Source organism: Homo sapiens, chromosome 19, assembly GCF_000001405.40.
Source record: "Homo sapiens chromosome 19, GRCh38.p14 Primary Assembly".
Taxonomy (NCBI): Eukaryota; Metazoa; Chordata; class Mammalia; order Primates; family Hominidae; genus Homo; species Homo sapiens.
The window spans coordinates 46,716,094-46,728,400 of record NC_000019.10 but is presented as its reverse complement, the minus strand read 5'-3'; the positions used below and the strand labels follow the sequence as shown (position 1 = coordinate 46,728,400).

At 61.7% G+C, this 12,307-nt stretch overlaps 3 protein-coding genes across 16 annotated transcripts in view, besides 5 other annotated features; all 3 read left to right on the top strand.

Moving 5' to 3' along the window:
• STRN4 (striatin 4) overlaps positions 1 to 8,890 on the top strand; it is a 26,940-nt gene extending 18,050 nt beyond the window's left edge. For 5 of the 10 annotated variants that reach the window (NM_001039877.2, XM_006723171.3, XM_047438713.1 and 2 more), the window contains 11 exons: positions 394 to 507; positions 834 to 949; positions 2,753 to 2,928; positions 3,022 to 3,069; positions 3,473 to 3,594; positions 5,117 to 5,287; positions 5,451 to 5,591; positions 6,061 to 6,159; positions 6,329 to 6,415; positions 7,630 to 7,865; positions 8,063 to 8,890. In NM_001039877.2, coding sequence (NP_001034966.1) covers positions 394 to 507; positions 834 to 949; positions 2,753 to 2,928; positions 3,022 to 3,069; positions 3,473 to 3,594; positions 5,117 to 5,287; positions 5,451 to 5,591; positions 6,061 to 6,159; positions 6,329 to 6,415; positions 7,630 to 7,799 — 1,244 coding nt within the window. In that variant the 3' untranslated portion in view covers positions 7,800 to 7,865; positions 8,063 to 8,890. Of the gene's footprint in view, positions 1 to 393; positions 508 to 709; positions 950 to 2,752; positions 2,929 to 3,021; positions 3,070 to 3,472; positions 3,595 to 5,116; positions 5,288 to 5,450; positions 5,592 to 6,060; positions 6,160 to 6,328; positions 6,416 to 7,629; positions 7,866 to 8,062 lie in introns of those variants that run through there. The other 5 variants (NM_013403.3, XM_006723172.3, XM_047438714.1 and 2 more) reach the window with 3 other exon arrangements.
• Positions 338 to 881: an enhancer, noted in NCBI's record as "H3K4me1 hESC enhancer chr19:47230777-47231320 (GRCh37/hg19 assembly coordinates)". NCBI's record gives its function as "activates a minimal SCP1, AML or CMV promoter by ChIP-STARR-seq in naive H9 embryonic stem cells {active_cell/tissue: H9 hESC(naive)}" and the evidence as "EXISTENCE:reporter gene assay evidence [ECO:0000049][PMID:30033119]".
• Positions 2,512 to 3,056: an enhancer, noted in NCBI's record as "H3K4me1 hESC enhancer chr19:47228602-47229146 (GRCh37/hg19 assembly coordinates)". NCBI's record gives its function as "activates a minimal SCP1, AML or CMV promoter by ChIP-STARR-seq in naive H9 embryonic stem cells {active_cell/tissue: H9 hESC(naive)}" and the evidence as "EXISTENCE:reporter gene assay evidence [ECO:0000049][PMID:30033119]".
• LOC107987269 (uncharacterized) lies at positions 8,679 to 11,867 on the top strand. Its single transcript, XM_017027568.2, has 4 exons — positions 8,679 to 9,755; positions 9,899 to 10,048; positions 10,425 to 10,602; positions 11,224 to 11,867. Exons 1-4 carry the CDS (start codon positions 9,338 to 9,340, stop codon positions 11,588 to 11,590), a joined length of 1,113 nt encoding a protein of 370 aa, XP_016883057.1. The 5' UTR covers positions 8,679 to 9,337; the 3' UTR covers positions 11,591 to 11,867.
• Positions 9,992 to 10,041: an enhancer, noted in NCBI's record as "active region_14847". NCBI's record gives its function as "activates an Ori minimal core promoter by ATAC-STARR-seq in GM12878 lymphoblastoid cells {active_cell/tissue: GM12878}" and the evidence as "EXISTENCE:reporter gene assay evidence [ECO:0000049][PMID:35858748]".
• Positions 11,162 to 11,321: a silencer, noted in NCBI's record as "silent region_10824". NCBI's record gives its function as "represses an Ori minimal core promoter by ATAC-STARR-seq in GM12878 lymphoblastoid cells {active_cell/tissue: GM12878}" and the evidence as "EXISTENCE:reporter gene assay evidence [ECO:0000049][PMID:35858748]".
• PRKD2 (protein kinase D2) overlaps positions 11,287 to 12,307 on the top strand; it is a 42,799-nt gene continuing 41,778 nt past the window's right edge. For 3 of the 5 annotated variants that reach the window (XM_005258716.3, NM_016457.5, XM_047438568.1), the window contains exon 1: positions 11,287 to 12,270. Coding sequence is in view for 3 of the 5 variants with exons in the window: in NM_016457.5 (NP_057541.2) it covers positions 12,031 to 12,270 (240 nt within the window). In the remaining 2 variants the exon portion in view is untranslated. The remainder of the gene's footprint in view (positions 12,271 to 12,307) is intronic. The other 2 variants (NM_001079881.2, NM_001079880.2) reach the window with 2 other exon arrangements.
• Positions 11,342 to 11,391: a silencer, noted in NCBI's record as "silent region_10823". NCBI's record gives its function as "represses an Ori minimal core promoter by ATAC-STARR-seq in GM12878 lymphoblastoid cells {active_cell/tissue: GM12878}" and the evidence as "EXISTENCE:reporter gene assay evidence [ECO:0000049][PMID:35858748]".

The window sequence follows — 12,307 nt, the reverse complement described above, 5'->3', positions numbered from 1 at the left end:
GGCTCTTCCTGAAGTGGGGCCGCCAGCCCTCCAGGGCGGGCGTCCAGCTCTGGCTGGCCTCAAGGAGGGAACAGGATGAGGACCCAGTCGGGGAGAGGCAGGTGGGAGGGCCGCATCTTCCTCCCTGTCCTGTGACTCCTAGCTAGGAGGGCTCTCAGGATACGTGGGATGGGTGGCTGGGGCCTGAGGCCTAGGCAAGGCAGTGACCTGCCCACTGCCCCACGGAGGGGCCCAATCAACCTCCTCTCCTCTGCCCATTCCCCCCCTCCCCCAGGGCCAGAGCTTCACAGCCCCACAGAGTGGCAGGGGGCCCTCAGTGTGGGGAAGGCGTCACCTATGCCAGACTGGGTTGGAACTGCTGGGTGACTCCGGCCCTATGCCTCGACCCTGCAGAAAGCCGTCGGGTCAAACTCCAAGGCATTCTGGCTGACCTGCGGGATGTGGATGGGCTGCCCCCAAAAGTGACTGGCCCGCCTCCTGGCACACCCCAGCCCCGGCCACATGAAGGTAAGAGGCACCCCCCACCTGGTCCCAGTCCTGCGGGCCCATGGCAGAGGGAGGCTGCAGAGCTGAGCCCAGGGCTTCTGTGTCTTCAGGGTCGAGGCCCAGCCTCCAGTCTGCAGCCTCCCTGCCCCAAAAGTTCGTCTGTCTGTCTGTCTCCCTCTCTTTTTGTCTGTCCTGCCCTGTCTGTCTCTCTGTCTCTTTCCAGCTGTGATTCTTCATCTTGTCCTCTCCCCGTCTCTCTCTCTTGCTCTTTATCTCTTTCTCTGCCTCTCTCTGTCATTCTCTCTCTCCCTGGCCCTCTCTGCCCCTCCCTCCCCTCCCCCTACCAGGTTCCTTTGGCTTCTCCTCAGACGTCTTCATCATGGACACTATCGGGGGCGGGGAGGTGAGCCTGGGGGACTTGGCAGATCTCACCGTCACCAACGACAACGACCTCAGCTGCGATGTAAGTTCTCCGGGTGCCCCCCACACTGTCCCCATTGGCATTGCGCCCAGGGCCAGCCCCTGCAAGCTCTGACTGGGTGCCGCCCGTGCCCTGCTCATCCTGTTTCACAGAGGGGTGCAGATGTAGACAGTGGAGGGACTTGACTGCGGTCGCCAAGGCGCAGGGCCTGGAAGACTCTGGAGCCTGTGTTTTAATCACAGTTCCACGGCTCCTCCACTCTGCCCCTCCCACCCTGGTGATTTGGAATGCAGGAAGATGACCTGTAGCCACCCCCTGCTCTGCCAAGTCAGGCCAATCTAGTGTGAATGGGCAGCTGGGCTGAAATGAAATGTTCCGGGCCTCAGTGGACGGGCCTCTGGCCATCTGGGAGCCTTTGGCCAGCTGGGAGCCTTTGGCCAGCTGGGAGCTTTTGGTGTGGGTGTATGTGCACATTTTACTGTGACAGAATGGGATTTCCAGTGTTGGTGACCCTAGTAAGGCTGGGTGGGGACTGCTGTGAGATTCAGGAAGGGGGGTCAGAGCAGAGGCCTGAGAAGTGGAGTGTGCCATGGGGTCCCTCTGCACGCCCCAAGATGTCATTTCATCTTGGGGAAGTGCAGTGTTCTGAGCCCCGCTAGGGGAGGGGGTGAGTGAACCACACAGTAGCAGATCCTCTGACCCTAAAGAACTGTGGCAGAAGGGACAGCTAAGGCAGGGACGTCAGCTGGGAGCCCATCTTGGGGCATGGTGCTGAGGCTTGCCTGGTACTCTGCTCGTCATCTCTCCGGAACCTGGCCCTCTCCGGGTCCCCTGCTGGGTGAGCGGCACCAGGGCGCATGCAGCGTGGTGGACAGAGGCCCCCACAGCTCTCCCACTTGTGCACTGCCTCCCCTTCATGGTCACGTGTCTGGTCTCCATGCCCTCATCTCCCCTGGGACTTCCTGGCCTCTCAACCTCTTTCTCTGAGGCTACCTTTTTTTTTTTTTTTTGCTCCTTGAGGGGATCTCCCTATGTTACCCAGGCTGGTCTCGAACTCCTGGGGTCAAATGATCGTTCTGCCTTGGCCTCCCAAAGTTCTGGGATTACAGGCGTGAGCCACTGTGCCCCGTCTGTGGCTACTTTTACCTGCCCCTAATCTGAGCCTCTCAGGGGTGGCAGGAACAAGCCATGTCGTTCCCCTGCTCTAAACACTTCCCCGGCTCCTTGTTTCTCTGAGGCTTTTTCTTAGGATGAAATGCGCATTCCTCCGGGGCTCACCACCCAGCACCTGTCTCATCCCCTGCCACTCTCCTTGCCTCCTGCAGCCTGTACCACTGACCTCTCAGGCCTGGGCTCGCCCTTGCTGCCTCAGGGCCTCTGCACGGGCCCTTTCCCTCTCCAGGGCCCTCTCCTTATCTTGTGAAGTCCTGCTGGCTCGTGCTTCCTCAGGAAAGCCTCAGTGGCCCCCAGGGAGGAGGGCAGGCTGCCTGATGTCTCTCTGTGCATCTTTAATTCATTGCCCTGCTCATGGCTGATGATCCTGCACACTTGTGGGATGGTCCAGTTGTGTCCCCCATTCCCCTTCCTCTCAACTGCAAGACCCCAAGGGGTCAGGCTCACCTTTGTCTCTCCAGAACCCAGCGCAGTGTGGGGACTTGTTGGGCGAGCATGGAGACTCTGCCCAGCAGAGGAAGGGGAGAGTTCCCGGCTGGAGCCCAGGCTCTGAGGGCATTCCTGCCAGGGTCATGTGGGTGGAAGACAGGGGCCCTCAAGCCCTGGGTGTCGGTGTCTGCATGACTGCTGGGATGGATGCGAAGACACTGAGGCAGCTCCCCCCAACCCCAGCTGTCTGACAGCAAAGATGCTTTTAAGAAGACGTGGAACCCCAAGTTCACCCTGCGCTCGCACTACGACGGCATTCGTTCCCTGGCCTTCCACCACAGCCAGTCGGCTCTGCTCACCGCCTCCGAGGACGGCACGCTCAAGCTCTGGAACCTGCAGAAGGCGGTCACGGCCAAGAAGTGAGGGCAGCAAGCTCAGAGCCGGGGGCAGGGGCATCTGGGGACGGGGGTGACAGGGTCTCAGTGACATCAGGCTCCTCTGTCATCCCACAGGAATGCGGCGCTAGATGTGGAACCTATACATGCTTTCCGGGCTCACAGGTAGGGAGGTGCCCCTGAGCCTGCTAGAAACTCGTCCTAAATGCAGCCTGACTCCTGACCTGCTCACTGCCATCGCGGGAGGCCCACGGCAGGAGGCAGGACAGCAGGGGGCTCTGAGTCCCCGCCCCCTTCATGATATACACAGCCCTGGTTCTTGGGGCTCCATGCTGACTTTCACATGCCCTGGCAGCTGGTACTCAGCACAGCCCTTCAGGGGAGGAGATGGAGGTGGGGTGGGGGAGGGCAGGGGACAGGCAGCTTGTCCAGGTAGCATGGCCAGAGCCCCAGTCACTGAATTCCTTTTGGCCATCCTTGAAGAATGCTAGTAGGGAACTTAGGTCCTGTGGCCAGGGGAGGCCCTGAGCTTGTCTCATCCCCCTTTCCACATATTTGTCCCTTCCAGGGGCCCAGTGTTGGCTGTGGCTATGGGCAGCAACAGTGAATACTGCTACAGTGGCGGGGCAGATGCCTGCATCCATAGTTGGAAGATTCCAGACCTCAGCATGGATCCCTATGATGGCTACGGTGAGGACAACGCCTCCCGCCTTCCCCTCACATCCACTGGGGCCTGGCCGTCCCCTCCACGCACACACACGTCGCGTCCACCTCTTGCCAACACTGCAGGCCTCAGGAGTGCGTGTGACGGCTCCCCTGTCTGCTCTGTTGTGAGCAGCGCGATGCAGCGCGTGGCCAAGGGACGAGCCAGCCGGGATGGGAATGATGGCTGTGGGAGGAGGTGGTGAAGCTGCCTGAGAATCTCTGTGAGCCGGCGTCCAGAAGGCAGTGCTGAGGCAGCCCAGGCTGGGAGCAGCCCATGCACAGGCGTGGCTGGCCCTGGCAGCCTCTGCTCTGCCATGCCGTGTACTCTGTGTGTGGGGATCCGCCAGGGTCTCTGCGTGGTTGAGGGGAGGGCATGTCCAGAGAAAGCAGAGAAGGTGGAGTTAGCTGGGCCAGGCTGGAGCGCGTTGGGGCTTTCTCTTTGGAGCATCTAAGACCTAAGTAGGGAAGTGACCAGACTGTCACTTCTGTTCAACATCTGTCCCCCTGTTCTCTGCCTTTTTTTTTTTTTTTTTTTTTTTTTTGAGACAAAGAGTCTCACTCTGTCACCCAGGCTGGAATGCAGTGGCGTGATCTTGGCTTACTGCAACCTCTACCTCCTGGGTTCAAGTGATTCTCGTGCCTCAGCCTCCCGAGTAGCTGGGATTACAGGCACGCACCACCATATCCAGCTATTTTTTGTATTTTTGGTAGAGACAGGGTTGCACCACGTTGACCAGGCTGGTCTTGAACTCCGGACCTCAGGTGATCCACCCACCTTGGCCTCCCAAAGTGCTGGGATTGCAGGCATGAGCCACTGCGCCCGGCTCTGCCTCCTTGATCATGCACCTGGCCCTGTGCTCCACCTTGTCTGGGCAGAGTTCAGAGGTCTTTGTCTCCTCTCAAGGGGAGGACAGACTTTAGAGAACAGGCTCACCTGCACAAGGTCAGGATCGGTCCCAGCTACATTAGCCACCACACTTTCGGTGTCAGCAGGCCAGAGCTGCTGGTGTGGACTCCAGCAACCAGGGAAGCAGTGATTGGACCTCTGAATGACCAGGGGGCTTTGGAGAGACCAGGCAAAGCCCATGCACTTGGCCATGGGCTGAAAAGACTGCTCGGGCCAGGGTTGGGACCAACCCTTGTCCAGCACAGGCTGCGTGCCGCTCCTGGGGCCACAGAACCATGCTGTTCCTTCTTCCTTAATGGAGCCCGAAAAATTCTGTATTGAGCTCCCAGTTTCTGGGCCCTGCTTGGGGAGACAGCTGTGAATAGAGGGAAATCCCTGCCTTCTGGAGCCCTAGAACCTTCCTTGGAGAGCTAGTGGGCAGTGTGAGCAGCTGCCGGGCTGTCCTGGCAGTGGACAGTTCCGAGGGGCACCAGGTGTGAAGTGGGTGCGTGGGTGATTGGAGCCCAGCTGCCTGGGGCTTGGCAGAGCTGGGGCTCTGGGCTGTCCAGGGAGGAGCTGGCAGCCCTGACACAGCCCATTTCCTCCCTGCGGTGGGTGCAGACCCAAGCGTGCTGAGCCACGTCCTGGAGGGCCACGGGGACGCCGTGTGGGGCCTGGCCTTCAGTCCCACCTCCCAGCGCCTGGCCTCCTGTTCTGCTGATGGCACCGTCCGCATCTGGGACCCCAGCAGCAGCAGCCCGGCCTGCCTCTGCACCTTCCCCACAGCCAGCGGTGAGTGGGGGCCCCGGTGCCTCACCCTGGAGCTGTGCGGGATCTGGAGGCTATCAGAGTGGTTCCTGCTGAGGCCCCAGGCCTCCCACCCACTGTCCCCCACCCTGGGGCAGGGCTGGGTCTGAGGGTCCATTCAGCAGCCTTCTCTTCCCTGTGCCCTCAGAGCACGGGGTCCCCACCTCAGTGGCCTTCACCAGCACCGAGCCTGCCCACATCGTGGCCTCCTTCCGCTCTGGCGACACCGTCTTGTATGACATGGAGGTTGGCAGTGCCCTCCTCACGCTGGAGTCCCGGGGCAGCAGCGGTAAGGGGGCTGACATCAGCTCATGGAATTGGTCTCAGTGTCTTCTGGGCCCCACTTCCTCCTGGGGCTTTGGCGACCCCTTGTCAGTCAGCTCAGATGACTCCCCTGCACCCTCAGGCCCTGAGCAGGAAGGAAGTTGGGTCCCAGTGGAGGGCCCCCGGCCCTCACAGCCAGGGCACTGGCGGGGCTGAGTGGGGAGAGCGCGTCAGGGCCGCCCCGTCGGGCCCTCTTGGTAGAGTGGCGGAATGTGTTCATGTTTGTTATTCCTCTTCCCCCGCCCCAAAACAGGGCCCAGGGGCTGCTTGTGCAGAACCAGCGCTGCGGTCGGGGACCGGAGTGCCCTCGCCCAGCCCCCCTCGACATCCAGGCAGAGGCTGGTGTAGGGGCTGTCACGCTGCGCTTGTGCCTCTGTTCTGGTCTTCCTGATTTTCTGCTTGACATCCTTCCCTCTTCCTGCGTTTTCCTTCAGGTCCAACCCAGATCAACCAAGTGGTGAGTCATCCAAACCAGCCTCTCACCATCACCGCCCACGACGACAGGGGCATCCGCTTCCTGGACAATCGGACAGGTGAGGCCTAGCCCCTTGTGCTCGTAGTGGGTGGGGAGGGCCAGAGGCAGGCAGCAGAGATGCTTGCGTCCCTGTGGGAGGCTCTGGGAGTCTCTCGTCCAGTCCTTTCACTCTCTCAGGCGAGGCCCAGAGTGGGAGGGGAACCTGCCACCCGCCCTTCTCGCCTCAGGTAAGCCGGTGCACTCCATGGTTGCACACCTGGACGCAGTCACCTGCCTAGCCGTGGACCCCAACGGCGCATTCCTGATGTCAGGAAGTAAGTTGAGCACACTAGTCCCACCAGGGTTGGGGAGAAGGGGAGGAAGAGGCCTGGGCACTGGCTCCAGGCAAGTGCTCAGGGGGCCCCGGGGGCCAGGGCTGGGGGAGGCTGGTCTGGGCGGGAATGACCGTGGTGACCATAGGGGGCAGCACAGTCCGCTGGGGCCCTCCTCTGGGTCACTGGAGCTGCATCGTCTCATTCGGCCTCTAAGCAGCCTGTGCGGTTGGTACTTTGATCCCCAGTTTACAGATGTGGGCCCTGATGCCCAGACGCTTTGTAACTTGGCCATTGAAGCTCTGTAACATCAGTCCAGGTCTACCTGGGGGTACCCGTGGGACTTCTGTGCTCCCACCCTGTTGTCTCTGGATAAGGGCATTGAGGCCAGCAACGTGGCTGTGCTTAGAAGGGATGGAGTGTGACGTGGGTGGGTGGAGAAGGAGACTGGAGGTCGCTGTGGGGGTGAAGGGTGAGGCCTGCAGTGAGTGCAGCAGTGAGTGTGTGTGCACAGAGGCGCAGGCCGTGGTGTTGGAGGCTGTGGCTGGGCTCTGCCTCCGGGCCTGTGCTGGCAGCCTCTGGTGGGTGAGGGGCTGGTCAGTGAGCTCCAGCCCAGTGCCCAGACAGGGCTCTATTCTGGGGGCCACTAGACAGTGGAGGGAGCTGAGCCTTTGCCCTGCCTGATCCTCTTGACCCTAAATTAAACTTCTCCTCGCCAGGGCCCTGCCCAGCCTGCCGTCCTCTCCCCTCTTCTCCCCAAGTCCCTGCTAAGGCTCTTGTGGCCACCCCCACCTCCTGCCTCAGGACCTTTCCCGCCTGTCCTTCTGCCTGGAAGGCTCCCTGCATTCCTCCTGGGGCCATTCTGTCCTCACACTGACCGGCTGGGTTGCTTTCTTCTTTCTCTTCCTGTTGCCCAGCTGCAGCGTCAGTGCTGCGGGGCAGGGAGAGTTGCCTGTTTTGTTCACTGCCCCTGCCGCCCTGGGGCTCAGTGTGCAGTAGCTGCTCAAGAAATGCTGGGGGATGAGATGGACTGTGGACAGGAGGGGACCAGGGTTCTCCTTTGGGCGGGCCACAGGAGGTGATGAGCAGAGGGTGAGAGAGGAGAGTTGAGCCCCACTTCCCCTGAGGCCTTTGGACAAGGCCAGGTGAGGGGTTCCAGGGCTGCGTCTGAGCGAGGAGCCCAGTGACCACCCCTTCTGTCCCCGACACATGTGCAGGCCATGACTGCTCCCTGCGTCTCTGGAGCCTGGACAACAAAACGTGCGTGCAGGAGATCACGGCCCACCGCAAGAAGCACGAGGAGGCCATCCACGCTGTTGCCTGCCACCCCAGCAAGGCCCTCATTGCCAGTGCTGGCGCTGATGCCCTGGCCAAGGTCTTCGTATGATGCCCACCTGGCCCTGCCCTGGCCGCCACGCTGGCTGGGGTGTAGGGCCGGGCAGGTGGGGCTGAGGTGAGGGCAGAAACCCCGCATTCTGAGTCTCTGCACGCCCATGCCTAGTACTGCCAGGTGTGCTGAGCCCCGCAGTCCAGTCAGGGGCGTCCTGTGAGAATCACTGGGGGAGCCCTGGGCATGCAGGGGAGGGGTTGAGGCCTTAGAGGCGCCCTAGAGGCGGCGGCTCAGTCTCCCCTCCCTTCTCTTTCCCGCAGGGGACTCCCAGCCTCGCTGGAGGTGCAGAGGCCTGGCCTCTGTCTGTTTGCCATGGAGCCTGGTGGTGCTAACGGCCCTTTCCCCAGGAATCCCTCCCCAACGGCTGCCTTCCCCAAGCATCCAGCCTGGGGATGGGCCCCTTTCAGGAATCACCCCCGAGGATGGCCTCGGGGTTTCCCCCTGTGCCCTGACAGCCGCTCCTGGTATCAGAGCTGCTTTCCAGAGGGCAGCACAGCCAGGGCCGGGTGTCTTTAGGGATCAGTTTTTCCAAGACTCCAGAAGGTGCCAGGTTCTCCCCTTGAGCTCCTGCTCCCCCATCCCCCATCCTCCCAGACCTGGGCAGGAGCTGTGCTGGGAGAAAGGGTGGCAGCCGGGAGCCTCAGAGCTGAGCCCCGGCCTGGCTGCCCCTCCCCTCCGGCCCTCTCCACTGCTTTCCAGACACTAACCAAGGCTTCCAGGCCAGGGATTGCCCAACACTCCTAGGGCAGCCCTCCCAGCGCCCCATGGGGTCGCCCATGGGTAGAGACGGCTTTCTTGTGCCCCTCCCTGGGGCATGGAGGGTGGAGTGGGCCTCGGGTCCCCCTGAACTCCCTGTATATCTGTATAAATAACGGGATTTTCATGGCGCCGCCCCACCCGCATTATCACTGTGTGATGGTCTCAGTCAGTCTCCTCCCTGTCTCCACTCTTTCCCTCTATTTATTTCACTCTCTTGTTTGGTTCTACCCTGCACCCTCGGTCCCCTTCCAGGTTCCTGTTTATAAGCCCCAACCCCTCTGTCCCCATCTTGTATGTGAAAACTTGTCTCAATAAACCCTTTGGAGTAAGATGGGTGACGGTGCCATCTGTTGAGGGCACTGGGGACTTTGGGGGAGGAGTGACCGGCTCTGCCTGGGTTGGGTGGAGTTTGGAGAGAGGGGATATGATGGGTTGGGGTTTTGTGGTAGGGCAGCAGGGGCCGGAGACGGGCCCAGAGCTTGGGTGGGGTGTGGGTGGAGAGAAGTGGAGGCACTGGACCGAATCTCCTTGTGCCCTTTCTGTCCCTAAGTGCTCCCTCCCCAGGGGTAGAGCCCTGGGGAGCAGATACTATGATGACAGTCCAGCTGAAGCCTCAGCCCCGCCTGGGATGTGTGAGGGTGGTGGCGAGGCCAAAGGGCTGGTGCCCAGAGGACGTAAACCCCCTTCCTGTTCCCATCCCAGGCCCACAAGGAGCAGGGAGGGAAAAGGCTGCACCTGCCAGTGGAGGATGATGGCTTTGGGGCGCAGGCTCCTCCATGCTGGGAGGAGGTGCCGCAGGTGCCCGAGCCCTCGTGGCTCATGTCCTGATGCGTCCCTCCTTTCCCTTCTCAGTGGTCCACGTCTACTGTACTGAGTGCTTTACATGGCATTTCACTGGGTCCACAGCCTTAAAAAGAGGGAGCAGGTGTCCACATGCTCCAGATGAGACGGAGGGGACCGCTGCTCCTGTCTCGAGGAGGCTTCCACCACCTACCAGCCAGGCGTCCTCGGTAATCCTAGCACCTCTGCCACAGGGCACTAATGCCCAGTTCCTGGGTTGTAAAGGGCTGTGCCCCAGTCCCCCAGCAGGCCCCAGTGAACATACGAGAAAGGATGGAGGCCGCTGTCTGGACACTCAGGACATGGCAGCGTTTTGCTGGGACAGTCATCTGCCCTTCAGGAAAAAGGGTGCAGGTGGGCAGGAGGCCCTTAGATGACGCCAAGGGGAGCCTTCGTGGGCTCCACGTGGTGTGCTCCCTGCCCATCCCTCTGGGCTCAATGCAGTTCCCCAGGTGGTGGTTTGGGTTTTCACTCCAGCCTCAGACTTCCTTCCTCAGCCCCAGCCCCCGGATGTGGTGACAGAATCGATACTGTACCGACCTCAGCTACCCCCAACGGCCGTACACCAGGAAGAGGGGCTCTTCTGGCAGCCCCCATCCTCAGCCAGCCCTGCCATTTCCAGTCCTGCCAGCATCCCAGCCAGACAGGTGGCCCTTCTCTTAGAGCTCAAACCTAGGCCTTGACTTGTCAATCAAAGGGGTGGGTGGGGCAGCTTCCCTCAAGCAACTTCACTCTGGGATCTTGGGCAAGACGTTTTGCTTCTCTGAGGCTTCAGCTTATTCTGTGTAAACTAAATGGTAGCCACTATTTGATTATTAGCTGGGGAGGAGAGATCAAGCCTGACCCCTGTAGCGGCTGGAGTTTTACAGCAGGGCCCACCCAGCACCCAGTAGGTCCTCACAGATACTTGCTGGGTGACTGAATGGGTGTGCCCACCCATCAAAGCCTGAGTGCTGGAGGTGGCCACCCCTTTCCGCGTATTATCAGAGACAACCACCTCTTACTGAACTGCTGCGTTTCCAGGCACCAGTATACCATGGCATCGGCTCCCACCATCCCATGTGGGGTCAGTCCTATTACAGTCCCAACAGATGGAGGGACTGAGGCTCACAGAGAAGCCACTCACCCAAAGTCACATGGAGAGAAAGACACGCACACGTACTCCACATCCCCAGGAGACACACTCTGCATCTATGAAGTGGTATGGGTGTGCTGTCCTCCCTCGGGGCAGCCCCACACTATCCTAAGGCGGGGTTGGGGTGGGCGGGGGGATGGACCCTCCCCACCCATCCAGTTAGCGCCATGCACCTTGCCCACCATCGCTGGAGACAGACCTAAGGCGAGCCCCTTCCTACCCATCTGGAGGCCTCGGTCTTTCCATGTGTTAAATGGGCTGGGGCCGGGGGACGCTCTGCAGCACCCCCTTCCCTGGGCTGGGACGCGGCGGGGAGGGCAGGGGTGACGCTCGGAGAACAGAGAGGCCGAACCCAGAGAGCGGGCCGGGACCTGATACCGATTTCCCACCCGTCCCCTGCCATGGGCGCCGGACGCCTGCCGGAGAGGGCTCCCCTCCTTAAAGGGCCAGTGGCCTCCAAGCCCGACGCCTGCGACCGGCGGTGGGTGATAGTGTTTCCCCTCCCTGTCCAGCCGAGGGAAAAGTTAACTTTCCAGGCTTGGCTGTGTTCAGGGAAGGAACTGGTCTCGCCTGCCTGCCCTCCATCCCTCACACCATCCCTTGTCCCGGACCCTGGAGGCGGAGGTCCAGCCCCCAACTCGGAGGCCCCGGGCCCACCCTCCCCTTCCGCCCCCGGCCCCTCGGCAGGCTCCGCCCCTCTCTGACGTCGCCGAGGCCCGCGCCGATTGGTCGACTGCACTGTCGCTCCGGACACTTCCTCCTGGGCCGCCGCCGCCGCCGCCGACTTAAACTTTGGAGGGGGAAAAAGAGCTACTGGCGCCTGGCGACCCTCCCTGCCCCCCACCCAACCCCGCTCCGGCAACGCCCCCTTCCTCACGGCTCCCGACCGAACTTTTCTCCAACTTCTGCGACTCGTGAGATTCCCTTCTACCCACTCCGGCCCTCGGGACCCCTCTGCCCATCCCCTGGCCGGTCGGGTCCCTGCGAACCCCTTTATCTCTGGAATCCACTCGGTCCCCGACTCAGAGACTCCTGCCCTCCACCCCCAAGGTGAATTCCCCCGGGCCGCCTTCTGAGTGGGATCCTCTTCTTGGAGCACTGGATCCTGGGATTCCCTCTGCCCCCTTCTCAATCCCTCCTCTAGGGAAGGGGCCTTTGAATCGCGGGCTCTCCTGATCCCTGTGACCCCGACCTACTAGATTTCCTCTCAGGCTTCTTGGAATCTCAATCGCTGGGACCTCCAACCCACTACTTTTCTCCTTTCTGATCTTCTGGGAGCCCTGGATTCCGGGCCTCTGACCCACTATAGTGCCTTTCTCTCCTTCCCAGGACCCCGCCATCCTCAGGTCCCCTCCGCCTGCCAGATCTTTTCTCGGATCCCCGCTCTCCCACCACCTGCTCACGAGATCCCGCGGATCTAGAACCCAGGGTCCCCCGGGGCCCCCCGGCCGGGTCCCGGGTGGGCTCCAGGCGGCCGGTCCCCGGCCTCCCCCCATGGCCACCGCCCCCTCTTATCCCGCCGGGCTCCCTGGCTCTCCCGGGCCGGGGTCTCCTCCGCCCCCCGGCGGCCTAGAGCTGCAGTCGCCGCCACCGCTACTGCCCCAGATCCCGGCCCCGGGTTCCGGGGTCTCCTTTCACATCCAGATCGGGCTGACCCGCGAGTTCGTGCTGTTGCCCGCCGCCTCCGAGCTGGCTCATGTGAAGCAGCTGGCCTGTTCCATCGTGGACCAGAAGGTGAGGGCGCAGGCTCCCTGGATCCAGCTCGGGGAGA

What these genes read in the sequence shown, in the direction of transcription:
- LOC107987269 (XM_017027568.2), top strand. Translation starts at nt 9,338, where the DNA reads ATGCTGGGAGGAGGTGCCGCAGGTGCCCGAGCCCTCGTGGCTCATGTC. An exon ending in CCAGCATCCCAGCCAGACAG is followed by an intron (nt 10,049 to 10,424) that starts GTGGCCCTTCTC and finishes CTGCGTTTCCAG; the next exon opens with GCACCAGTATACCATGGCAT. An exon ending in CACTCTGCATCTATGAAGTG is followed by an intron (nt 10,603 to 11,223) that starts GTATGGGTGTGC and finishes GCCCCTCGGCAG; the next exon opens with GCTCCGCCCCTCTCTGACGT.